Source organism: Homo sapiens, chromosome 15 (assembly GCF_000001405.40).
Source record: "Homo sapiens chromosome 15, GRCh38.p14 Primary Assembly".
Classification (NCBI taxonomy): Eukaryota; Metazoa; Chordata; class Mammalia; order Primates; family Hominidae; genus Homo; species Homo sapiens.
In genome coordinates, this window is record NC_000015.10 from 92,406,353 (window position 1) to 92,433,887 (window position 27,535).

General features: G+C 46.3%; 1 protein-coding gene and 2 pseudogenes across 3 annotated transcripts in view, besides 1 other annotated feature; all 3 read left to right on the plus strand.

Annotated features, from left to right (window-relative positions):
- Positions 1-27,535, plus strand: part of ST8SIA2 (ST8 alpha-N-acetyl-neuraminide alpha-2,8-sialyltransferase 2) — a 74,848-nt gene that overhangs the window by 12,472 nt on the left and 34,841 nt on the right. Inside the window, exons 1-2 of one of the 3 annotated variants that reach the window (XM_017022642.2) lie at positions 2,586-7,135; positions 23,697-23,759. The exons of 1 other annotated variant lie outside the window; for it this stretch is intronic. In XM_017022642.2, coding sequence (XP_016878131.1) covers positions 6,975-7,135; positions 23,697-23,759 — 224 coding nt within the window. In that variant the 5' untranslated portion in view covers positions 2,586-6,974. Of the gene's footprint in view, positions 1-2,585; positions 7,136-23,696; positions 23,760-27,535 lie in introns of those variants that run through there. One more of the 3 variants, NM_006011.4, reaches the window with a different exon arrangement.
- Positions 11,195-11,337, plus strand: LOC124903615 (uncharacterized; annotated as a pseudogene).
- Positions 15,782-16,435, plus strand: ENO1P2 (enolase 1 pseudogene 2; annotated as a pseudogene).
- Positions 22,876-24,075: an enhancer, noted in NCBI's record as "MED14-independent group 3 enhancer chr15:92972458-92973657 (GRCh37/hg19 assembly coordinates)". NCBI's record gives its function as "activates an origin of replication core promoter dependent on BRD2, BRD4, P300/CBP and CDK7 cofactors, and independent of MED14, by STARR-seq in HCT116 cells {active_cell/tissue: HCT116}" and the evidence as "EXISTENCE:reporter gene assay evidence [ECO:0000049][PMID:35650434]".

The window sequence follows — 27,535 nt, forward strand, 5'->3', positions numbered from 1 at the left end:
GCCCATTTCAGGACCACACTTTGAGAACCAGTGAGCTAGAGCCTTGTCACTCGGTGTGGTCCTCAGACCAGCAACATGGACATCATCTGGATGTTTGGTAGAAATGTAGTGTCTCAGGCCCTCCTCCAAACCCTAGACCTGCCGAATCTGAATCCGCTCAGTAACAAGCCCCCAGGTGAAGTGTATGCACACTTTGCTGGGGGAATGATTGGTTTCCCTGCCTTCTACAGAGCGCCTGCCCTAAGCAGTGACCTTGGCCCATCACACCAGGGGTAGCCTGTCAGTGTAGCTCCACTGCCCATCACAGAGTCAGCCTAGAGGGACCTCCAAATGGATATCAGAAAAATGAATAATGATTCTTGGCCAGGCACAGTGGCTCATGCCTGTAATCCCAGCACTTTGGGAGGCAGAGGTGAGTAGATCACTTGAGCCCAGGAGTTCGAGACCAGTCTGGGCAACATGGCGAAACCCATCTCTACAAAAATACAAAAATTAGCTGGGCGTGGTGGTGTGCGCCTGTAATCTCAGCTACTCAGGAGGCTGAAGCAGGAGGATCACTTGAACCTGGGAGGCGGAGGTTGCAGTGAGTCAAGATGTCACCATTACACTCCAGCCTGGGCATCAAGAATGAAACCCTGTCTCAAAAAAAAAAAAAAGAAAAGAAAAAAAAAAACACTACAAAGAAAAATGAATAATGATTCTTATTACAGCCACTGGTTGGATTCCTGAGTGTATGCCAGGAGCTTTTTATACATTGTTTCACACATTTATTATAAAACCCCTGCAACACCCATTTTACGGACAAGTAAACTGAGACTCAGATAGAGTGACTGCTTAGGAAACAGAAAAAGAACTTAAACTGTGTGGCGATCTAGCTGGCTGTTTTCCAAGGTGCCAGGGGTTTAGCCTTTAGCCATTAGCATATTTCTCTTCCTTTGTCCTCCCAAATGAGGCCTGAGGCATAAGATGAGGAGAGCAGAGATCTTAACCGAGGGTTGAAGTGATTTATTACATAAGTCCAAGGAGGATACAGTGTGTCCAGAAACAGGCTTGACCCGGTGCTGGAGCACTTGAAGGAAATTTCTAGAGAAACTGGACAGCAAAGCGCTCATCAGCTGTGTCATTAAGCCCTCCAATGAGCTTGGCTGGGATGCGATCTTTCACACAGCACAGGGCCCCACTTCACAGTTGGCGTATGCAGTCACAGTTCCCTAGAGTTCTGGGGGTTCCTGAGTGGATCTGGTGGCCTGCCCAGCCTGCGGTCCAGTTCCAAACTGCACTCTCAGTTATAAAAAGCAGGGGAATGGAGAGGGAAGGCCTCTAGGGGTGATGGAAGGCAAGTCTAGGGGAGCCTTTTAAAACCAATCTGCTCTTCCAGATAAAGAAAGTCTCCAAGCAGGCTGGAAGCCAAGAATTTAATTGTATTTATTTTTGCTATTACCTTCTATTTAGGGCAAGGGATATTGGTATTCTATCTATGGTAGTGGTATAAAGATTCCTTTTGTGATAAATTCATTTAAGTTTTTAAGTGAGTCAATTTAAAGGAAAGTATTAAGTCAATAAAGTCTAGTTAGCAAAACGCATGAAGGTAGACCCGGAAAATGTTTGAAGTTTATGCAATGACATCCCAGCCTTTCTTCTCCCCGATAGTCATTATCTGCCCTGGATGGCAGCAAACTCATGACTACTCCTTGCAAAACTTCTCTCCAGAGTGACTGAGTTAATCCTTCAGAAAGTACCTACTTACAGAAACCATTTATAACTGTGTCTGGAAACGGCCCAGCACACAACAAAAGAATCCTTGAATAAAACAACCTTATGAATGATTCAAACAGTGTCCAACAACCCTCCTCCAAGAGAGGGTGGTCCCACCGAGAGGGGAGGATGCCTTAGGCCCAAGAAGACCTTTCACCCCTGCAACACCACTAGATTAGACCCTCATCTCACCATCCTCTGAAGCTCCCTACCTCTCTCTGGCACATCTCCCCACACCATGTTTGTTGCATGGTTTCTTGCCTGCTTGTTAGCTTGTAGCTCCTTGAAGGCTAGGACCGTTTCAGATGTGTGCCCCGTTGTACTTCCAGCTCCTGCTACAGTGCCTGGTGGAAAGTAGGTGCTCTTTTGGAGAAAGAAGGGAAGGAAGGAGGGAAGGGATGAAGGGGAGGGAGTAAGTTCCTTGAGGGAGGCTGAGATAGGCCCCAGTTACTGATATTCTAGGATCACTTACATATTTCTCTCTATGGCCAAAGGAGAAAAAAATGTGGTAGGGGCTATATTAGCTCCCTGTGCAATTGTCTGATTTGAAATCCACTGAGTTCCATTTTTTTTATTTATTTATTTATTTATTTATTTATTTATTTATTTATTTATTGAGATGGAGTCTCACTCTGTCGCCCAGGCTGGAGTACAATGGCGTGATCTCAGCTCACTGCAACCTCCACCTCCTGGGTTCAAGCAATTCTCCTGCCTCAGCCTCCTGAATAGCTGGGATTACAGGTGTGCGCCACCATGCCCGGCTAATTTTTGTATTTTGGGTAGAGGCGGGGTTTCACCATGTTGGTCAGGCTGGTCTTGAGTTCCTGACCTCATGATCCGCCCGCCTTGGCCTCCCAAAATGCTGGGATTACAGGCATGAGCTACCATGCCCAGCTGAGTACCGTCTTATTTAGAGAAGACACCCACTTTCATTTTTGCCCCTCATTTCATGGGGAAAGACCAGCCCACAGTTTAAGTAAGTATTCCTAACAGGCGAATCCGCAGTTCTATATGGGCTCTGAGGTCTCGTGCACAGAAGCCAAAGGACTGGAGGGATGTGACCAGATTTGGGAATCAGGCAAGCTGGCTCCAGGCAGGCTGAGATCAAGCTGATAACAAGGAGATTAATGAGGGCCTGCAACCTCCTCAGTCTTGTATTAGGGAGGAGGGTTTTCAAATCAATGCTGGTCTGGCTGGCTTAATGGTACCTAATCTTACCTTTTGAAGCTCACGCATTTGGGAGTTGAGATCAATTGAGATAAAATAAAGTAAAATGTGTTGACTTTGGGATTTGTGGTCTTCATCAGAGTCCCATTGTGTAGTGTTGTTTTTATTTTCTGTCTTGGAAATAGGCAGAGATTAGCTGCCGGAGAGGGTTGTTCTGTCTGGACTAGGTGGTCTATTTACTTTTGTTCTGCTTTTTTCATTTTCCGCTCGATGATTCTTCATGAGGGAAGGGCCCATTTCTTTCCTGTTCATTTCTGTATAGCGAGTGCATGACACCTGGTACATGCTCAGTAACTATTTCTCAAATGCAGCATTGCAGCATCACCAGCACAGACTGTGTGCCACGAGCCACCCTGCTGGAAAAGCCAATCTGCTCCTGATTAGGTGCAAAAACAGCAGCCTTATAAGGCACTCACAGTGCCCCTGGAAAAAGGCGTCAGGACGGTTTCCTGGTACCTGGTTTCTGTGATGGTTACCATGAGCTTTGTGCAGTCATTGCAAAGCTGTGTGTGAGCAAAGTGCATCCGATCCATTTTACAGGTGCTTACAAGCCCTGTGCTGAGTGCTGGCGACTGAAAAGATGAGTACAGCATAGGGAAGGTGCTCATGGAGTTTGTGATCTGGTGGGGGAGCGAGTTGTGTAATGACGAGGAATGTGTCTGGAGGTGAGAGTTTCGGGGTCTGGGCTTTGGTTGTGGATTTGCCACCACCAGGCCATTGCCCTAAGGGCAGGCCCTAACGTCTTTGGGCCTCAGTTTTCGCATTTATAAAAAGTGGACTCAATGGACCTACAGGTCTTCACTTGCTCTAGAGCAACAAAACTGGAGAGCTGTCTCAAGGAGTTTTCCTGTGCAGTGGAGTTCAGCCTCACTGGAAATAGCAAATCCATTTGCTGCTACACCCCTAAATTCCTTGCCCTGAAATTTTAGAGCAGGGCAATAAATAGGTGTTGGTCTATTTTCACCTACCACCTGCTCTACATTAAAAAGAAAAGAAAGCTGCTATATGGCAAGAGGAAGACAAGCTAATATACTGGGTATCTGCTCTTTGCCAGGCACTGCATTTGACATTTTCACATCTCAATGGAACGTCCTGATAAACTTGCAGGACGGGGAGCAACAGCATCGTCACTGCTGCACCCTTCAGTCCACTTAGAGGACCGTTGTGTCACAGCAGGATTGGTGTTCCCGTCAAATGACATCCTGTATACCGAGTTTTAGAAAAGCACATGAGTGCACGTAACGGGATGTAGAAAAGCTATTTTCAAGCATAGTTAAATGTGGTGATTTTGGAAGCCTTCTTCACTTAACTATGAGGAAAATTCATTATCACCAACAAACATCTTATGAGAGTAGTATATCAGCCTAATTGCCATCCCTGACCTCCCATGGTGAGCTGACGTGTAATAAAAACAAAAATAACAATAGCGTGCTCATAGTACTGCTGATTCCTACCGTAGGAGCTCCAAAGAGGGGGTTCCCTACCAAGGACTAGGGATGAGAGAAGGCAGGATTTGGGGACTTGAAGGAAGAGCCCAAGGACTTGAGCTGGAAAAAGAATGACATTGGTGACCTAGATGGAGAGAATGGCCAGGACCAAGAAAGTTTCCCATGTGCAAGGAGGAGCTGTTCTCACATTTGTGACGCGGCTGCCACAGACTCTGGCAGTGCCTAGAGGTGGAGGAAAGTAGGGGAGGACAGAGGGCTTGGAGCCAGGCTGTCAAGGGCTGAAGAACTCAGACTTGATTCTTTGAGGGTTTCTTTGGTTTAACATGGGGTCCGGAGACCTCTAAAGAATCTGTGATGGGGTTCAGATCCACGAACCCCTTGAAATTGTAGGCATTTTTCTGAGCAGATGGTTCAAACATTTCAAAGGATTCCCAAAGGGACCCACAAAAGCTTAAGAGGAGCCGCTGTGGACAGTTGGGACCCTTGAAGTGCTTTGACCAAAGGTATGTGCAGACGATGCATCAGTTGCTTGGAGGGGGCAGGTGCCGGGAAGACCACCCATGGGAGTAGCATTGAGGGTCGGGCGGGGGTGTTGAAAAGGAAGAGGGAGTTAGGAAGCCATGGTTATGAAGAAGAAATGACAGCTCTGCAGCACTCTCGGGACAGTCAGTAACAGCTGCATGAACAACTGAGCCCACTGTGGGTGCAGGACATCAGAGGGGAAGCTGTGTGTTATGGTCCTATAGTGAGTTTGGTTTTAAACATGATCATTTTAAGAGGCTGAGTTTATCTATGTGGAAATGAAGACAATTTAAAAATTATTAAGCCACCACTTACTGGAGCAACTAGGGGATAAGAGGGCAGCAGAACCACCCCTCTTTCATTTTATAGGTACAGCCACTGAGGCCCTGAGATAGGAAGTGACTTGTCCACAGTCACCTCAATGGTGGGCAGCTGGGGACCAATTCGTAAGAGAATAACAGGAGAGAAGTTAGGCTGGAGGTTAGGCTAGATCTGAAGCCCTCTGGGGGAGATGGCAGTTGAAGCTCTTAGTGTAGATAAAATCTCTAAAGTAGAAAAGACCCCAGAATTAAGCTTGGGTCTTTGCTCTGATTTAGAGAATTGGAAACAGAAACCAAGGTAGCAAAGGCCATGCAGAAGGGCAGTGAGGGAAGTACGAGGCAACCAAGAGGAAGAAGCAAGGCAAGACAGGCAGGTGCTCCCGGTGGGAGGGTCCTTACAGACGAGGGCCTCAGGCCAGGTTGTCGGCAGATCCCCAGTGGCATTTGAGAGATACCTCCTTCCTTGGAATTGTGGGGTGAAGCGAGATTCCAAAGAGAGGTCTCTGATAAAGGGGCCAGAGAGGGCATACTGGCCTTGCCGGAGGTGTGAAAAGGAAGGAGAAGTGGGTGAGGGGTGGAGGCAGGCAGGAGAATAATATTTTAAAAATAAAAGAGTGCATCTGTAAAAATAACTAAAGAAATGAGAGGAGGGAAGGAAGGGGGGAGAGGTTCAATGATAGGGTCACAGTCAGGTGAAAATGAGACCAAATGGCAGAGGTGGGGAGGGGAAGAGGAGGGATGAAGGTTCAGAGGAGAGATGAAGGGGTGAGCAGGGCCTGGAAACATGGTAAATTTTAAAGGAGGGAAGATTGGGATCCTCTAACCCATTAGGCTCTTCTTGCCTTTCAAGTTGTGGCCCATGCAGACCTCTCTGCCTGATATTCTTCCCACAGCCCTTTGCAAGGCTGGTTCCCCATCTTCCTTCAGAGTTCTGACAGATGCCATCTCTTGAAACAGCCCTTCCTGTCCACTCCCCAGTATCCATGCAGTCTGGTATGCACCACCATTTGCCTCTGTGTTTTTGTTTTTGTTTTGTTTGTTTGTTTGTTTTGAGACAGGGTCTTGCTCTGTCACCCAGGCTGGAGTGCAGTGGTGCGATCTTGGCTCACTGCAACCACTGCCTCCCAGGTTCAAGCAAGTCTCATGCCTCAGCCTCCCAAGCAGCTGGGATTACAGGCGCATGCCACCACACCCAGCTAATTTTTTGTATTTTTAGTAGGAATGGGCTTTCACCATGTTTGCCAGCTGGTATCAAACTCTTGGCCTCAAGTGATTCGCCCACCTCGGCCTCCCAAAGTGCTGGGATTACAGGCGTGAGCCACTGCACCCAGCCCTTGCCTCTGTTTTCTTCTCAGCATTGCCCAGTAATGGGTAGGTGTTTATAGCTCTGTTCCTTTGCTGGCTGGTGGGGGGTGTAGGGTGGGGAGGGGGGTGAGTGTGCGTTTGTTTCATGTCCCCAAATTTCTATTTTAAGCACCTTCAAACTGGAGACAATTTGTCTCCATTCCCACTGCAACCCTAGAGCCCTGCTCAGTGCCCGTTGCAGAGTAGGTGCTCCATGATGCTCGAAAAAGAAAGGCATGTTAATTGAAACAAAGAGAAGGGAAGGTAGAACTCAGCCATAACCTATCCTCCTCTCAGAAAACTTTTAATCAGAACAGTAATTACATTAAAATGAAAATAGCATCTGCCAGCTGTTGATATGTTTTCATTACCTTTTTTACTCTTCACAGTTCACCCTTCTGAAGGAGTGAGGAAACTCAGTCTGAATATTCTGCGAGTTAAGGTGGAGCTAGGGACCATACCGAAGACTGTGTTCTCATTTGCCACCTCATTTTATTTTTATAGTGTTGTATCAAAGAGGTATGTTTGTCAAGAAAACAGGGAAGCCATGTCCCATTTCCCTCCTCCTCCCGGCCAGTGGGTGGGTAGTTTCCGCGCATCCTCACTGCACACTTACTGAAGTACTGCCCTATTCCAGATGTGTCCCGGGAAGCCCTTTGTGTGCCAGGGTGCTTGACACGTGCATGTGATCTGCCTAGGACAAAAGGGTTAAATCTCCTGTCCACTTGTCAGGCCCCTGCGGTCATGTGGAGAAGTCAGCAGGGAAGAATTCTCTCTGCCTTTGGATTCTTCTAATCCCTAGAGAGCGGCAGACAATCCCTTTTCACTCCGGCCCTCTTTCTTGCAGTTTTCTATAAGAAATTGATGGCAGGAGTGTGGGGAGAGGGTGAGGCTCTGAGGCAGCCCCCGGTGTGATGCCCTCAATGACACCTTCAGCCATTGCCCTCAGGGCACCGTCTATAGGCACCAGCCCAGACCCTGGGGGCTAATAGGCTGTGACTTTCATGTCCCCTCCAGGCCCAGCCCAAAGTGGGAGTCTGTGCTGATACTCAGGGCAATGGGAAAAGCAAAGAGGAAAGGACCCATTGATTCTTCTTTGTACCTCTCTTCTGTGGGTGTTCAGAACACAAGCCAGCCTCCCCGCCTTCTGCACAGCCTGAACGTCCTGATGGAATCTGCTGGAAATATTCAAAGCACAGGCCCAGAACTGCCAAGAAGGAAGGCATAGGAATAAAATCACAGGGGACAACCCCAGGTCCCTGCACACACTCCCCTTGCCCTGACCTGGCTTCGTACCTCTGCCTCTCGGATCTGACTGGGTGAAGCTCTGGCGTCTGTCTGGAGTCAGGTGTAGTGACCCAGGTACATTGGCTGCTTGGCCCTGTCCTCTGGCTTCCCTTGTCAGTTTGTTCCTGTGAGACTACATTCCAGTTTTGACTCATCTCAGGTTCTGACAAGCCCCTACCCCAACCTCACCTTTGCACCTACTCCCCAATTTGGAGACAATCTGTCAGACAGAGGTGTATTCAAATCCCGCCTAGAGCTCCCTCCTCACTGTCAATCTTGGCATGCGATGCTTAACATCTCTAAGTCAGTTGGAGGAAGAAAAATGCCGAACTCATAGGGTTGGGACAGGGATGAAAAGAGTAAATCCACAGCAGGGACTGCCATGTGGCAAGGGCCCAGGCAGCATTAACTCTGGTAATGATTACTCTTCTCAACATCCATCCATCCGAGCAAGGTTCTTCTCATGCTTGCATCCAGTCACCTGATTCTAGCATCAAGCTGGTCACATCCCTGGGGCCACCATCCTCTCTATGACCCGTCACCACCCCACCCGTACCCACCACAAGCTATCGTGGCATTAGTTGGACGCAGCCATTTCCCATGCCCTAAGTCAACATGGCTGGAGTTAATTTCTTCCACCCTGAACACATATTTGGGCTTTCCCCTAGCCAATCAGGAAGTGGCTCACAGGGAGGACCCAAGAGGCAGAACCTCTCCTCCGCCCCCTTTCCTCCCCAGAGCCCTGGGCTCCTAAAAGAGCATGGCTGGGAAAAGTGGGGACGGAGGTCATGGCTGATGCCTGAAGACACCTGGGGCTGTTACCCTTCCAGAGGCCAGGGCTGGCTTCCTCTTCCTATTCTATCTGTTGGTCCTCAGCAAGCCCAGGAAGCAGCCTCATCAAGTGTCTTAGGAAGCATAGAACTCCTGAATTTCCTTCTCCTAAGCTTTTGTTTCTGAACATTACAGGGAGAAAATGACCATGCCCCTGGGTGTTCCTCCTACTGCTTCTGCTTGATTTTATCAATAAGGATCTGGTCAGCTGAGACTGAGAAGAGGCAAGAAACTAGCACCTCTGCCATTTCCTTAGGGCCTGCAGTCCTAATGTACCTGGCACGGGAGGGGTTTCTGAGTCAGGGAAGTTTGTGGAGAAAGTGACATGAGCTGAATTTTGCTAATTGATAGGACGAGTCTAGGGATCTTAAACCCAAATGCCTTTAGGGTCCAGGCAAGTCACAGATATAAGTGATGACGCTCAGTGTAAGACAGTAGGGAGTAGTGTGGGCTGTAGAAAAATGTAGCATATACACCCCCCACCCCGCCCCCACAACAAGAGGACACAGATACTTCCCAACTCCAGCAATGACTATGGTTCACTGTTACCAGATCTTCTGACTGTTTAGAAGGAGCCAGAAATGAGGATATTTTATAACGACTAGTCTCTTGAGTTTTAAACAGTAGCCTCTGATTTTAAAAAGGTCGAACATGCAAGCCCCTGAACACATGTTTAGGCTAGATATGACCCAGGGCTGGCAGTGTATAAACTCTGAAGTCAGCAAATGAAAAATAGAACAAGGGATTCCAGAGAGAGGGCACGATATTTAAAGACACAGGCTTGTGAACTGAGTCACGCATTCCAGAAACTGCCCCTTGGTAGGAGGTGGATGTGTGGAAAAGAAGATGAGGCTGAAGGGGCAGTTCAGAAAGGGTCTCTGTGCCATGCTAAGGGATCTGAACCTCATTCTGAAAGCTGCAGGGGTCGGTAAGAGAGACTGAAGAGTTTAAAGGAGAGAGAGGCATGTGGCACACTGCATTTCGGAAAGCTGTGTCTGTGTAGGGAGGGCTGGCAGATCAGCAGTCTCTGCACATCGCAGATAAGACGGAGGCACAGGAGAGATTCATGGCAGAGGGATGAGGGCACTGGCACTCACCCTCAGGTGGACGAGCTCAAATCTGGAGGCTGGGGGACACTTGAAGGGGGGGTGGGGGTGTGGTGAGGGAGAGTGGGGAGTGTGGACATCACCCTGGTTCTGAATGAACTAGGGGTGGCTGCCATTCCCTGAGAGGACACCGGGAGAGACAGGTGGAAGGGGTGGAGGTGGGTGGGAGGTGTGTGGAGGCAGCCAGGTTGTGCTGTGACTGGAGCCGGGAGTGAGGTGTCCAGAGGCAGATCAGACACCGAGGGACAATGGAAGCAGGGTTTGGAAAACCGGCGCGTGCAAAGGGCACACTCACACCAACCCCAGCATCCTGAGGGGCTGGGAAAGAGAAGGTCAAAGAAAACCCGGAGAAAGTGTTGCCAGAGGATGAAGGAGGCGGGAAGTCTATGGCCTAAGGGGTACTTCAGGGTCATGCTCAGGTCACTGACAGAGCAGAGAGAACGTGCCGTTGGACCCGCTCCAGGAGACATGGGGACATACTGCAAGGGTCTCCCTGCCAGGGTCCCGTCGGGATTCAGTCCTGCACAGCCCCGTGGATTGTGGGCAGGCCTTGCCCACCTCCTGGCCATGTGATCTTCGGATGTGCCTCTTGTGCTGAAGAAAAAAAAATGCACATGTCCACTCCCCAGCAGGCCCCGCTCTGAACGGGCCCCCAGCACTCCATCCATGAAAGCTGCAGGGGCAACAGCAGGTGCCTGTTCTACCACGCTAGCACGCTCCACTTTCTCTCCTCCACTGATTCTTATTTCTCCCTAATGGACTGCACTCTTCAAAACCAACTTACCCAAGGACAGCTTTTCCAAGGGGACTTGTCAAACTCCACAGGCAGCAACTGGTTTGTTCCTTTCCAAAGGGCAGTAGCCATCACCTTCAACAATACTGCAACTAACATCCACCTCTGTCCAGTCCTTCTTATTTTAATCCTACAGCAGGAACCCCAATTGACAGAGGAGGACATCAAAACTGAGAGAGGTCTAGGGCTGCAAAACTAGAACCCATCAGGAACCAGAACTCCAGTCCCCTCTGCCGGTGGTCCCATCCATCCTCCTTCCATCTGACACCAAGGCTTCCTGAGTGGTAACCACCATGGCTGCTGGAGCAGAGGAAGTGGCCGTTGCCTTAGAACCAGGCAGGTGGGGAAGGGGACACATCAAATACCCAGAAGAAAAGTGACTTCAAAGTCCTCCCCAAATTGAGTGCCCTCCAGAAATTCTCTCACGAAGAGGCTGCAGCTGACATTCACAGGGATGTTGTGTCTGAATGCGGGTACATCAGGAAGGGAACAAAAGAGAGGGAAGAAAGCCTGGTTGAAGGCAGGGGTCTTTCAAGTCCCCTCGAGGCAGACTCAAGAGCAAAGCATGGCACACTGGATGGGCGTTCTGCTTCTCTTTAAAGAGCATGGATTTATCCATACCATGTGACATGAATGAAATGAGGAGTTTTCAGGGCTGCCAACCTCTTGGTTAAGGTTCTGTGTAGTATATTTCTCCTACAATAGAAAAGGAAAAATGACATCTGAGGTTAACAATGTATCTGCAGTGCAAGGCCCAGTGACTGTCAATAATGGACGCTGAGTAACTAAGCAATGGCGGATTGCATGAATTTTCATATAAAACTGCTCCTATACATCGCTTTGAGTGTCTGGGTCACGCCTTATCCTTATAGTGTAATGTGAGCGGAGAGTCTAGCTTGAATATTTTCCCACTTAGCTAACTTGCCATCTCACAACTATTTGCTGAGTAACCCTTGCTTCCTCTTAATTCTCTGGGGCCTCCTCGACATATATTTAGGCAGGAGGTGAAGGGCAGGACGCAGGGGGCCACTTTCTGCAGGCATAGGAGGTTGGGCTTCATGCAGACCACAATCAAATCCTTGCTCTGCTGCTTTGCTTGCTGGGTGGCCCTGGGCAAATCACTTAACCTTTTTGAGCCTGGGTGTCCTATTTCCAAAACCAAGTCAGAAATAAGAAAGTTACTATGGGCCTGGCATGGTGGCTCACGCCTATAATCCCAGCAGTTTGGGAGGCTGAGCCCAGAAGATCACTTGAGCCCAGGAGATCAACACCAACCTGAGCAACATGGCAAAACCCAAACTCTACTAAAAATAACAAACAAAAAAAAAATATGGGGCATGGTGGCACACGCCTGTAGTCTCAGCTACTTGGGAGGCTGAGGTGGGAGAATCAGCTGAGCCCGGGAAGTCGAGGCTATGGTGAGCCATGATCACGCCACTGCACTCTAGTCTGGGCGACAGGAGTGAGACCCTCCCTCAAAAAAAAAAAAAAAAAAAAAGGCTTCGGTAGAGTGCCTGGCACATGGAGGGGCTCAAGGGAATGAAGTTCTTAATATTTTTAATTGATGTCTTGGAATCTGCATCCATGTCTAAGGAAGAGACAGGCAAGAGAATTTTTGTCCTGTCTGGGACAAGAATGATCATTTGGGATGGTGGAGGCATCACTCTTACAGAGTGAACTTTGATTGAGGGGGAGAGAAGCTGTTTAGTTTGAAAATATATATGTATATATTCAAACGGTATAGAAAAACTGTAGAAAGTAATGCTGAACAAAATCTTGTTGGGTGTAAATACAGAGAAAAATCACAATTTTTAATTGTGGCACCTCTGCCAGGGGAACAGTAGGATCAAGGAGGAATTTTATGCCATTTTAAATGAAGTCGTAAAGTGTTGTGAGGGGATGACGTAAAATAAAGGATTTTCTGGGCCAGAAGGCTCTTAAAGATGCCCTGGGGACTCTAACCCATCCCTTCATTTGGGATCCTTTGTCATGTCTCTTAGCCGCAGCATGTTTCCTCCAGGGGGTGCCCAAGGGGACATTTGCCTCCCCACTCCCAGAGAGAAGGTCTCTCCGGGGCCACGTGTGAGCCAGGCAGAAGGTGGGAACCAGACCCAGGGAGCCCCAGTTCACCTCTCCAGGAAGGAGGGAGTGGCCACCCTCATCCAACACCGATGCGGTTCCAGCCATCTGGGGGCTGAAGAATGTCATTGCAAGGTGGCCATATCAGAGCTCTCTTGGTACAGGGACAGGAACACAAACCAGGCAGGCTCAGAAGAAGCAGGGGGTGGAGTGAGGAAACAGAGACAACTAGTGTAGACGGACCTGAGAAAGTTTGCAAAGAGCTGGCGAGAGAGAAATCGCTGAGGGGAATATGGACTTCTCTGAATCCTGTTTTCTACAGGAGAGGGTCATCTTCGGTGATTTGGGCTCATCTCTCCATTGAGTGGTCCTCTCTAGAACACACTGGGTGTGCGGGAAATACACCCTCCCACAGCAACGCAGAGATGAGCAGGACCCGCATCCTGTGCCTGGCCATGGTCTGGGGAGGGGGTGCTGAAGCCGAACGCATAGAGATAATGGTGGCTGAATATAGGGGGCACCCTTCTGCAGGTATGTCCAGGACGCCGAGGCAGGGTGAGAGGCCCAGGCTCGTTGTATAGTAGGGAGCTCCAAAATTGGGATGGGGGAACCAGCAAAGGCTCTATAGCCATGAGCACCATAGAGAAGTAGTCCTCTCTGCCCACAACTTTTCACTAGGTCCAGTTCAACCAACAGCATACATATATGTATTGCCCTGGGTTTTAATTGCTTTGGTTTCTGGGATTTTGAGTGTTAAGGATTTCAGAATGCAGCATTATCTTAGAAGTCTGTTTTTTGTTGTTGCTTTGTTTGTTTCTTTGAGATAGAGTCTCGCTCTGTCGCCAGGCTGGAGTGCAGTGGCGCGATCTCGGCTCACTGCAACCTCCGCCTCCTGAGTTCAAGCGATTCTCCTGCCTCAGCCTCCGGAGTAGCTAGGATTACAGGCGTGCACCACCACGCCCAGCTAATTTTTTGTATTTTGATTAGAGACGGGGTTTCACCATGTTGGCCAGGATGGTCTCGATCTATTGACTTCGTGATCTGCCTGCCTTGGCCTCCCAAAGTGCTGGGATTACAAGTATGAGCCACTGCACCCAGCCAGAAGTCTGTATTTTAAAGGCTGTCTCCTTTATAAGATGGGTGCAGATCAGAGGACGAGTCCTGCTTCAGTTGGTAGTCCCTGTTTATGAATCCTTTCTGGTTGGCGTTTCTGTTCACTTGGATGATAAGTTATATTGTCCCCCCGCCGGTTATAGGTGACCCACAGTTTCATTATGAGAAAGAGGAAGGATCAGGAACGATTGCAGTGAGAAATGCTTGGCATCCAGGTGACTTGTTTACTTGCATTTTGATGTGCAGATGCCTCTAAGTACCTTTATGTAAAGACTAGGGAAATTGGCTGGAACATAATGAAAGCCCAAAGTTCTCAGGGATGTTTTCTGAAGTTGAGCAAAGGAGAGAGCCAAGGGTGAGCTGGTACCTTTTTGTACACCAATAAAAGCTGATTAACAAGCAAAAGTTTGCTGGAATCGAAGCAAAAAGATAAATCCAATCAAGCTAATGTTTAAATTGAAGGCAGAAGGGATGGCAAGAAAAGAACTGAGCAGTCAATAAGGAGAGCTCAGGAGTCATCATAAAAAGAGAGACACCCAAAATTCTCCCCATTGGCCCCTGCAACACCCTCAGACGCCCAATACCAGAGATGGCAACTGTCATGGAAACAACACTATCAAGGCTGAAACCAGCATAGGTCTCCAGAGCTGCTGTGCCCAGCGGTGTCTCAGTATCTATGAGGTTCAAGAGCTTCAGTACAAGGCTAAGACTTGCTGTATAGGAAAAGTATCTCAAAGGCTGTTGAGCACCTCAATAAAGCTATTCCGCCCGTCTTGGTGAGCAAGAAGCTGTGTGTGTGAAATTGGGGGACAGTAACAAACTGGAAGAAGGCATGAATTTAAATCTAACTGGGAACACATCTAAATTGGGTGCAAAGACCTTACTAGAAGTGCTGCTTGCTGTCTGTGATGTTGAAGCTGCTGCAAGGAGCCACCTATACTGTCACAATGGGTCCTGGCTGGCAATCCAAAAGTATCTAGCCAATGCCAGCTTTCAGCAAGGTCCATGGTAGTTTTCACAGTGGTAATGGGCCGGCAGTGCAGGAGTTCATGGTTCTCCCTGCTAGAACCGTAACCTCAGGAAAGCCGTGCTTTACCAGAAGGATGTCATCAGGCAGAAATATGGCAAAGATTCCTCCTAGTGAGGACAAGGGGTGTTTTGCTTTTCACATCGTAGAGCAGGAATTAGCAAATATTGGCTCACAGGTGAAATCCAGCCAGCTCCTTGTTATTACATGGCTTGTCCTCCAGCCAAAAATAGAAAAATTCAAAAGAAGAATAACATCAGTATCAAATGATTTACAATAAATCAAACACTGTTCTTACTCTTTGCATTCATTAGCTCATGTGATCTTTACAATGAACCCATGAAGTAGATACTATTACTCTATAGATGAGAAAACAGATGGAAGCTTCTAGATAGGTTAAGTAATACTCAAAGATCATACAGATAATGATTTGTTCAGCTATAATTACAGACCCAGCGAGTGTTAGCTCCGAGCTTACTCTCTTAACGTGCTTCCTTGTATGAAAAGTTCCCCAGTGCTTTAAAGGTAGAAGGTAAGTTCCTAAAGAGAGATTCAGGTATCACATTCTGGTGTGTTCACAAGAGGGAAGATAACAGTGTCTCAGAGAACCAAGGAAAGGCTTTGTAGAAGAACGAGGCTACCTTTCCGTCATGATGGCTGGAATAATAACTTTGAATCCTAATTAAGCAAAATCATGTGCCCTCCCCCACAAAATTACATTATTCTCATTACCAGGCCTAGTGAAGTTTTTTATGACAAAAACGTGGTCTCAATTATGACTATAGCTTAAATTTTGTCAATAAATTATTGGTAGAAACTTATTTTCTCTCTTGTTACTTAAGTACCTGCATAGTACCATCTGTTTTTCCTCTTGTCCCATACAGCCTAAAATATTTACATTTGGCCTCTTTGGAAAAAGTTTGCTGACTCATATCCTAGAGAATACAGAACACTGGAGCTGCTATGGAATGTGATTAGAAAGCCTGGCTGTATTATAAGTAGTGAATGGCATGGACAATAGCCTCTAGTTCTTACAGTTCAGGAAATATGACCTTGATGTTCAAGCCTCCAGATGTCCTTAGCAGTTACATCACTTCTGACCAGCTGGTAGGCAGGTACAAGTCCTTCATCAAGGACTACTCGGTGGTGTCTACTGAAGATGCCTTGGACCAGGATGACCGAGAAACTTGGCAGAAGCTCTCTGCTAGTGCAGGTTATATCCATGTGACAGGGAATCATCTCCCTGTGCCCAGCCGGAAAGGAACTACCAAGACTACAGACAAGGACTCGGGCAACTGCCTCCTACTCAAGGTGAATCAGACAGACCCCATGATGGAATCTCTTCAGGAGTGCAAAGTGGCCCAGGCCGAAGGATAGGGCGCTATTTCCCACTGTGTTGGGGTGACTGAAGATTCTTGCATTGCCAAACTCATGGTGAGGATCTGTACTAGGTCAACCAAGGCTGCGGCCCCTTGCCCATCTAAGCACTTGGCCAAGTACAGCCACCTCCTCAGGTGGAAAAGAAGATGGGTAGCACCTTTGGTTGTTCTGCAGACAACAAATTCAAAAAGCTCCTAGCCAAGTAAGTTCTGGGGCAGGCGAGTGCCTGAGCCAGTCAAGCACTTGTCAGCTGGTGGGACCTCTACTGCTATTCTAATCATCTGTGCTCAAGACTCTAGACACTACCACTTTGGAGGGGTCTTTCCTTGCTCATCTCTGTGATGTTCTGCCTCCTTAGAACTGCCGTATCAACTTCTGCATCAAATGCCACATCTTCTGATACGTGCTGTGTGTCAGATGAGACCTTGAAAACATATGCTAAGTGACAGAAGCCAGACACAAAAGAACAAATAGTGTGTGGTTCTACTTACATAAAATAGCTAAAATAGGCAAATTCATAAAGATAGGAAGTAGATAGTAGTTATGGGGAAAAGATGTAAAGAGGGAGAGTTTTTGCCCAAAGAGTGCAGAGTTTCTCTTTAGATGATGCAAAAGTTCTGGAGACAGATGATGCTTGCACATTATGAATGTATTTAACACCACCCAACTGTACACTTAAAAATGGTTAAGATGGGCCAGGCGCAGTGGCTCATGTAATCCCAGGTACTCAGGAGGCTGAGACAGGAGAATCACTTAAACCTGGGAAGTGGAGGGTGCAGTGAGCTGAGATCACGCCCCTATACTCCAGCCTGGGCTATGGAGCAAGACTCCATCTTAAAAACAAATGGTTAAGATGTTGTCTTAGTCCATTTTGTTTTGCTATGACAGAGTATCACAGGCTAGGCAACTTAGACAGAACAAATTTATTTCTCATAGTTCCGGAGGCTGAGAAGTCCAAGAGCAAGGCACCAGCAGGGCAGGGCCCAGTCTCTTTGCTTGCAAGATGGCACGTTGAGCACTGCCTCCTCCAAAGGGGAGGACCACTGTGTCCTCACGTGACAGAATGGCAGAAAAAAGTGAACCCACTCCCAAAAGTCCTCTTTATAGTGGCATTAACCCATTCATATGGGCAGAGCCCTTAGACCTAAACACCTGCCATTAGGCCCCACCTCCTAACACTGTTGCATTGGAGGTTAATTTTCCTATTCGACCATAAATTTTGAAGGGAACGAAACATTCAAGCATAGCAGATGGTAAATTTCATGTTATACGTATTTTACCACGATTTTAAAAATTGGGATTCAGGGGAAGAATTCTTAAAAGCCTTCGACCACTGTTGACAGCCCTGGTTGTAGTCATGTGACTGACCCCAAGTCATCCTGTTCCTCACTTTTCTCCTGTCCATGTGTCCTTGGAGTTTGTTCCTGGGCTGTCAACAGGCATAAACCTCAGTGGCTTTAATGTGCAAATTGAAAAAAAGCATTCATTAGTCTCCCAAAAATGTGAAGGAAGAACCATCTGCAAATTCATGAATTGTGCTTTAGTTTCATCTTCTATTCTCAAGACTAATCACCTGTTTAAGTTGGCTCTAGACTCTTAATTAAAATTGTCAGCTCCTGAAAGTTCATTCTGAGCCTGACTCTCCCATGAGAAACTGTAAACGTGGGAAATTCTAACACAGCTAGGAGATTCCAACATACTGGACCTTACCTTACCTATAAATAACTGGGCTTGGTGTATATATCAAAATATCATGATGTACCCCATAAATATACACAGTTACGAATTTTCAATTAAAAAATTATTAAAAATGAAATAAAATAAACAATTGGGCTTGGATGAAGAGGCTAAGCAAAAATGCAGTTTTCAGGTTTTGCTACTTGCTTTTCACTAGAATAGATCCAGCTGTGTGTGGTGTGATTTTGTTTTACATTTTTTTAACATACCATTTTTATTTACTATCATCGTTTACTGTGTACATTCTACTAGGAGAGAATATAATGTCCATAGTGTGAAAAAAAGTTTGACATTCTTTTTTTTTTTTTTTGAGACAGAGTCTTGCTCTGTCACCCAGGCTGGAGTGCAGTGGCAATCTCAGCTCACTGCAACCTCTGCCTCCTGGGTTCCAGTGATTCTCCTGCCTCAGCCTCTTGAGTAGCTGGGACTACAGGCGCACGCCATCACACCTGGCTAATTTTTGTATTTTTAGTACAGATGGGATTCCACCATGTTGGCCAGGCTGGTCTCAAACTCCTGACCTCAGGTGATCCACCCGCCTCAGCCTCCCAAAGTAAAAATTGACATTCTAAAATGTAGACCTTTAAAGTCGTCAACCTCTACCCTTACAATGGTTGAGAATATTGCAGCAGGGTCAAATGGACAGTTGTTATTACTAGTATTATACCTTATTCTATAGAGTTCTTTATAGTGTGCAAAAAGTATCCCCATATGTTTTCTCATTTGGATGATCTAAGCATCTCTGTTTCTACAATTTCAGCACTCTATAAATTATCTTTAGCAAATGTTTCTTACCCGATCATCTTCTATCAATCAACCAGGCAGGTATCAGCAGTTCCCCATCGCAAGGAATATAAGCTTATTTTAATAACATTTGAGGCAAAACCTAATTAGAAAAAACAAATCCCTCATCAATTCCTGTGATTTATTCTAGAGCCAAACATCTGCAGCCCAGTTTCTTTGAATGATGGTCTTCCCTGTTCTATGAACAACTGAGAGGTGAAGCAGTGTCTTGTACAAGTGTAAATAATGTGCGGGAACACAGCACATAAACTGCAGGGACGACTTCAGAAGAAAACCCCCACTTAACTCTTGAAGCCTGATTTGCTTCACTGAGTCCCAATGGGGCAAAGCACTGTGCAAGGCTAAGAAAGTGAACAAGACAGGCTTCTATTCTGTTTTACTGTAGGTTCTGTTATTATTTAGGTATGTCAAGGCCAACAGATGAAGCAATGACTGCCACGAAGAAGATAGTTTGTTATACTCACATCACGGGGCTCTACACAAGGAGATACTGGGGTTGGTCTGGAGGCAGGAGGAGGGGGAAACTGGTAAGAGCCTTTATTGTGGTTTGCACAGGAAAGAATGGGCACGGTGGGGCCAGAGCGGGTCTAGGATTGGCTAGTTTGAGTAACTTCAGCAGGTTCTGCAGGGTGGGAGCTGTCGCTAGTTGCATGGTACCTAGCCTAGGGTACTTAGGGTAGGGGAATACCTGGCCCTACAACAGGGCAGGGGAATACTGGCCCCCAGTAAATGAGACAGTAGGGGTGTGGATTCAAGATTGCAATTTGACAGGAGCGTTCCCAGGAAGAGTCGTTTGCTGTCTCTAGAAATCAGCTAACCCTGAGAGGGGCAGTTTCTCCAGCGTCAGAAAAGCCCCAGATGTCAAAGCATTGGAATACAGAAAATAAAAGACATGGTTAACACGCCCCCTCGAGGACTTACACTTTATTGTGGCCCGCAGGAGGAAGCCGAACCTGGCACACAAATCCCCAGGCCTTGGTCTCTTTGACTGTATGAGGAGGAGTTCGAATTGTGTAAATGACAAGATTTTGTAAAGCCTCCCATCTGTGATTCCATGAAGTAATTAAATATGAGAAGAAGGTGGCAAATGCTATAATAGAATTGAGTGCTTTGGGAAAAAAGGAAATGGCAGCTGAGAATTGAAAATTGGGATGGTTTGGAAGGGAGGCACCGATGCTGGGTTAGGGGGTTTGCATGGAAAGATGATGTGGATGGGCGGGCTGGTGGAACCGGGGGTGAGGCATGGGGGACTCCTCTTCTGAGAGGCACCAGGCAGAAAACAAGAGTTCACCGGCAAAGAAATATCTCCACCAAAATATCGAGTGCCGAGGTTGAGAACCCCTGAGTTTGAGTAAGAACTGGCATGGAAAAGTGCATGGATTTGTAGTATCCCAAATCAGCGAGATTTGAGTTCTCCAGGACCTGGCTGGAAGCAGGAAAAGAGAAAGGCTGGAGCCAGCTATTTCAAGGCATTTGGTCTCCTCCAAGCCTGGCTCTCAGGGACTGGGGGTGGGGCTGTGAGGAGGGGAGGTATTGGGCAAAGTGTACAAAGTTTCAGACAGAAGAAATAAGTTCTAGAGGTCTGTACAGCATAACTACAGTTAATAATACTGTATTGTGTACTTGAAATTGCTAAGAAAGTAGATCTTATATGTTCTTAACACAAAAAATGGTAAGTGTGGGCTGGGCGTGATGGCTCACGCTTGTAATCCCAGCACTTTGGGAAGCCAAGGCAGGCAGATCATCTGAGGTCAGGGGGTCAGGAGTTGATCAACCTGGCCAACATGGTGAAACCCCATCTCTACTAAAAATACAAAAATTAGCCGGGCGTGATGGCAGGCGCCTGTAACTCCAACTACTCGGGATGCTGAAGCAGGAGAATTGCTTGAACCCAGGAGGTGGAGGTTGTAGTGAGCCGAGATCAGGCCACTGCACTGTCCAGCCTGGGTGACAGAGCGAGACTCCATCTCAAAGAGAAAAAGTAAGTGTATGAGGTGATGGATATGTTAGTTAGCTTCATTTAATTATTTCACAATGTATACAGATATCAAAACATCATGTTACGCATAGTATATATACACAGTTTGTTTGTCTATTATGTCTTAATAAAGCTGGTGGGAGGTTGGGCACTTGGCAAAAAAAAAAAAAAAAAAAAGCAAAGATTAATGCATCCCTACTGTCTCTTAAGCTATACTCCATGAGCACGGGGACTATATATATCTAGCTTGGCCAAAGCCTGAAATATAATATTACTCAAAATATTTTTGTTGAATGAATAAGAAAAAAATAACTTAGATATATTGGTATCCTCATCCAGAGCCACCTTAGATTTCATGAAAGAAACTGGGTTTGGGTTTGTTGAGGTTTGCTTTTAGTACAAGCCAAATTTTGGATTTTTATAAAGTTAAATCTGTCGACATTTTTTTTTGTAATTTCTTCTTTTTCTTCTAAATTTAAAAAGTCCCTCCCATACACTCCTCAGCCCTCATCAAAGATTTGATGAATATCCTCTTCCCTGTTCTTACCAGTTTCTTGTGGGTTTCTTTCTTTAAATATTCAACTGTTTTGGCCAGGCTGGCTGGGTGCAGTAGCTCCTCCCTGTAATCCCAGCACTTTGGGAGGCCGAGGTGGGCAGATCACCTGAAGCCGAGAGTTTGAGATTAGCCTGATCAACATGGCAAAACCCTGTCTCTACTAAAAATACAAAAATTACCTGGGCGTAATGGCAGGTGCCTGTAATCCCAGCTATTTGGAGGCTGAGGCACGAGAATCACTTGAACCCAGGAGGCGGAGTTTGCAGTGATGCACAATCACGCCACTGCACTCCAGCCTGGGCAATGAAGGGAGACTCGGTCTCAAAAAAACAAACAAACAAACAAACAAAAATTAACTGTTTCATTCTGTCTTTCTCAGAGGGTGGTGCAGGTACTCCTGGTACTCGTCGTGATAATGTAAGATTATCTTAGGAATTCTATTGATAAATATTCTTGTGTTAATGGTAGTGTAGGGTTTTTTTAAATAACTTTGTAATCAAGACATGAAACCTGATTTCACAGAGGATATTGCTTAGGGTAAGGGTAAGTTTTTAAAGATGGGTCTGTTTTAAAATTTAAGTGGATAATAGTGTGTGCAGTTGATAAATATGAAAAACTGGTGATAGGGATCTGAAAATTACTAAAGTTTGGGAAACATTTGTTAAATCCGTGATGTTTTTTCTGTCTAGAGTAAGGTGACACTCAACTGTTTTTCTCCCAACTCAACCACCAGATCATTAACCAACTATTCCAAACTATTTATAGAATTAACTCTGCTTGACTTAATGTCTGGCCAAGCAGGTCTCCCCTCTCCCCAAGGAGGGCTGATTTTGAGGGTTAGGGTCCAGCTGGTGGCATGTGAGCAGACAGTGACCCACGGGCCATAGCACATCCAGCAATGCCCTTGGGACCCAACCCAGGTGAATGTGGGTTACAGGACAGGAGCTGACCCGACATTCCCGGACCCCAACATGGAAGTACAAGAACACTGTTATCCCAAGGAGATATTTCCAAGGGGAAATGGGGAGGGACAAAAATAAATATTAGGCATCAAATTAAAATGAGAAGACCCAACGTTACTCTTTGTAATTGAGAACTAGATTTGTAGTGATGAAATCTGGAACCTTAAGGGAGAACTAAAGTGAGACACTGGGTAGGTCATAATACCCTTTCTGTTGTCTAATTATCTGCCTATGAAATGGGTAAATATAGCCTGTTGCCAAATAATGTTGAAAAGACAATTTATCTGGAAAAGACATGTACATATAAGCATGCACACACATGTGTGTGCACATACAATGTGATATATACAAGTATGTGAATCCTAAGGAAATCAGATACAAAATCCAGACTTAAAACCAGTGTGTGGATAGGCAATAACTCCCCCCGCAGTGTTCTCATTTAATGACAAGGTTCCTTTCAATACACAGCTTCCCCAGTGATTTTCATTATTTATTTGGAGTCTGCCAACACCTTGACTGAAAGGCTAAATGGAACTTTAAAAACTGAGAAAAGCACCCAGTACCTCCCCACACCGCATACCCCATCATTTTTTAATTAATAAAAATAATGAATCTCACATACAACTTTTCTAAAACATGCAGGGCAAAAAGTCGGGGGTACTCGAGGCACATGTATTTATCCATCCACCAACCTAACGTGTCAGTGAAGCGGGATGAAACCGTGTGGCCAGACAGAATGGGATTTGGCAGAACCGAATAGAGTGTAGGGCTGGAAAGGGCCTTAGAGTGCTTTTACTTCAAAAGCCTATCCTACAGAGGAAGAAACAAGGGATCTCATGACTCACATACACCCTTCTCACTTCCCAGTAGAGTGACACCACTTAATACTATTTCTTTTGCCACCAAAGAGCAAATTATGATCACATTTGAATGGAGGCACTGTTGAGTTAACCTTGCTGCCTCTGTTGAATTTCTGGTGTCTCAAAGTTGGAGAGAATGCAATGGACAACAGCTCACTACATGTGAGTGAAAGCAAGAGAAGACAGCCAGCAGGTGCTGAGTCATGCTAGAGCAGATGCTGAGTCATGTTGAATTATGCTATCCTGTGGGATTCACCAGGGGAGACTAATCCCCAGGGAGTTTATTTGCCGTCTTAAATGAGGGACTCAAGTGAGAACCTGGCTACTTACTAATTGGAACAATATTCAAGTGGGGAGAGGGGCAGGGGAGGATCCAGGAGGTCCACACCCTATAAAATGTTTGGGCTGTGTCTGGGGCCAGGACTTTGCCCATTCTGCAGAGTCCAGAATGAGGTCTCTTCCACCCTCTGTAGTTTTCCAGGTGGGCTATGGGATCTCCTGGCAATTGAAGAGGGCTTTGCAAAGATGAGCTGGGTTTATAAATAATGCATTTCCTTTGTCTTGCAGGAATTCGGGAGGCAGAGGTACAATCAGATCAGCTGTGAACAGCTTACATAGCAAATCTAATAGGTTTGTAAATTAGATTTTGTGTTCATTTGTTTTTGCTGTAAGGCAGCTATTAATCTGCTTCTCTTCTTTGCTGGATGGTGCCCTTCTTACTTAGCAAATAGATCTGTTTCGTTTCACTTTGGCTTTGCATTTCCCTAATCACTTTTGGGGGGAGCTGTCAATGGAAGATCACATGAAATGGCCCAAGGTCTAGAGGCTGCAGAGATGGAAAATGCAGATGGGTAAGAGTCACTTTCTGGAAAACAGCCCACCCACTTTGTAATGCCTGGGACACCAATGAGCTTACTCAAACTTGCATGTTTGCTGAGCAATGGAGACCCTGAAGGGAACCAGCATTTTCACTCAATTTCATTGTGGTAAATGGCTCGTCCAGGAGGTTAAGATGGAAAATAAAGCATTCGGGAACTTTGCTGAGACCTCTTAAAATATTTAGGGAGTCAACACAGTAATGTTAACCCTGATTATTGAACGTACGCTCCAAATTCTGAAAGAGTGTTTCTACTTCATGTAATGGTGCAGAACAGTCATTGCCAGGGGACAGCTTGATGCAGGACAGCGTGCAAACCCAGGCTTGCCCCTGGCTGTGGCTACACCATGCTTCTGAGTCCCCATTCTCCATCAATGACAAGTGCCCCATAGCTATGGCCTGTAGTCTTATAAGCTTGAGCTTAAGGAGCGGTGGAAGGAAGTGCCAAGTTATATGATGTAAACAAAGGCTACTACTCAAAATCAGGGCCTTGTTTTTCTTTCTAAATATCCTATTTTGGTCATTGTGGGAATAAGAGGTCCATATGATGCAGAGGATTGTCTATTATTTGCCCTTCCATATTTTTTTAGATCTCTTTTCTGTATGAGACCTGTGAAGTACATCTGTCCCTGACCCTGCATGACTGACTCGAGAAACTGTTCCCTCTGTCCCTGACATCATTGCTTCTAGCTCTCTAATGACCTCTTAGCCACCTTGGAGCTATGAATGAAGCCCGTGTTATGCCAGGTGAAATGTGAATATGGCAGAAAGAAAGAAGGCCATGTGCTCCTAAGTCTCTCTCTGTTCTATTATGAAATGATGCCCCATTTCGGAGAAAGAAGATCCTGCCCCTGAAGCCCAAGTCCTCGTGGTAGCTTGAGGGGCCACAGTCTCATATGAATCAAGTATGAGAAGTGGAAAAAAACAGTCCTGGGAGCCAGGCAGCCCTGGCCTCAGCCCCAGTGTTTGTTAGCCAGGACCTTAGGCAAGTGATTTTACCCCTCTGAGCCTTGGCTTCCCCATTTAATTAGAATAATACTGCAGTGTCTTCTTTGAGGAGTGTTTAAGGATTAGAACCACCAAATGTAAGAATCTATCTAACCCAACACCTGATATGTTAAAGGTACTTATTTGATGCTTGTTACTACTACTGTGGATATATCTGTGGCATGAAAAGAAGGTCACTGGGAGTGAAGTTCAGGAGTCGGGAGGTGAAGCAACTTAAGCCTGAAATGTACCTCTAGTGTCATTTTGGAAATGGGGGAGGGGACTGGAAACAGGAGAACACATTCATTGAAAAGGAATATCTCAACTCACCAATCCAACGTGTTTGTGCAGCACACAGCATGTAAAACCTGTGAACCGAGGTGGACCCTGGAGTTTTCTAATCCATCCCCTTTATTTTACAGATAAGAAGGCAGAGTCTAGAAATCTGAAGTGACTTTTCCAAGTCCCCCAGGTAGACTGCAACTGAGCCAGGGTTAAAATCCCTTAAGACCATGATGGGCTATGCAGGATGCCATCCAAATTCACCCTGGAAAGTGGAGAGAGAAATGGAATTTTACCATTACCCACACCAGCATTTATCTCTCTCCCTTTCCAGCCTTTGCCATCTTGTGTCCAGGAGAAGTCTGGAAACCTTTCCTGGAGGTTTCCAAGCAGGTCTCCTCTCCAGGCATCCACGGGAGAATTCCTCTGCAGCTCCTTCTTTCCTGAGCCTAGTGCCATCCAGTGTGCCCCAGTCTCTGAGAAGCATCACCCTAGACTGAACCCACCTTAAGCCATGAGACACCAGAGCCCAGTCACTGATTTCTGATGAGTACATCAGCTAGCCTCTTAGTGCGATAACTCCTCATCACCAACATTAAAGCATTTCTGTTGTGCGTGCCTACTGAGGTAGGCTTCAACAAAGCTGGGGTGAAGCCGCTAATTCTGTGTCGCTGAGGTCAGTGCCCCTGCCTGTGTTCTGCATAGAAGTTGGTGGTATCAAAAGGATGCAGCAATGCCAGCTCCTGCTAGAGCCTCATGAGGTGGCAGCCAGTGGGGCATGCCAGAAACATCGGTGCTCCTTTGAAAATTCCAGAACCTCACGAGATGGATATCTGTCTCTTCTACACCTTGTTTCTATAAATGGGCAATCTGTGGCTCAGAGAAGTAAAGCTATCGACCCACAGTCACACAGCTTATGAAATCTTTCCACTGTACCCAATGCGTCTTGCATGAAAACAGTAAAAATTCCAAAGGGTTAGGTCTTGTGTACCCTCTCGGAAGCTCCCTTAAGCCTGCATGCTAGGAAGAGTTCCTCTGCCTTACTCAAAACTCGTCAATTCTCTATCCTCTGCGAAGTTACAGATATTTGAATTCAAGAGAAGTGATATCAGCCAGAAGGAGTCAGAAATATTGAGGAATGGAGGTGGGTGCATGAAGGGAATGTGTGAGACAACATGCACCCCTAAGCGAAGTCCTTCTCTACCTGCAAAAGTCAAACTAGGGCCAAGCATGGTGGCTCATGCCTGTAATCTCAGCACTTTGGGAGACCGAGGCAGGCAAATCTCCTGAGGTCAGGAGTTCAAGACCAGCCTGGACAACGGGCGAAACCCCATCTTTACTAAAATACAAAAATTAGCCGGGTGTGGTGGCATTCGCCTGTAATCCCAGCTACTCAGGAGGCTGAGGCAGGAGAATTGCTTGAGCCTGGGTGGTGGAGGTTGCAGTGAGCTGAGATCATGCCACTGCACCCCAGCCTGGGTGACAGAGCCCGCCTCTGTCTCCAAAAAAAAAAAAAGAAAAAAGTCAAAGTGGAGCGTCAGGTTTAGAACTCACTAACAGGATTTCATCTTTTTTAACTTGGCTGTTTCAAGATAAATGGAGAGGACACAGATGTTTGGTTTGAACTCTTTAAAGCTTCAGAATGTGTCATCACAAATCCACTTATTCTAACTGGGAGAATCTGCTGTCAGCACAGACAAAAAGAACTTTGGATGTGACCCACATATATCTGTGTGCATCCAGCAGCAAGGCGGCTAACTCTTACACTGCCTTTAAAGATAGAATTGTAACCTAGTTTATAGAAACCTACTAGCATAGATTTCAAGCCTCTGAATTCAAGCCAGTCCTATAATACCTGGTGTTCCTGAGTCAGATGGAAAGGGGGTGTTTACCCAGAATCGTGATCCACCCAGGGAGTATAAAGCCAGCCAGTTCTTTCATTCACTCCAGGCTCCCCCGGGATCGATTTCAACCTAAATTCAACAATACTTATTTATTGAGCACCCGCTATGTTAGACCATTAGGGAATATAAAATGAATGTGGGAGATCCCTTGCGTACAGTCTCCTATGAGGGACAGACACAGCACAGATGACTGTGTAACAAGGTCCATGTTTCAAGGAGCATATCTCAGAATTACCCTCAAGAGAGTGATGGGGCTGCCAGGGAGGAGGGTGAAGCCACAGGCTACAATGACATTGTCCTGGTATGAGTTCTTGTTTTCTCTTTTAAGTTTGTAAGACCATCATTTGATACTTTGT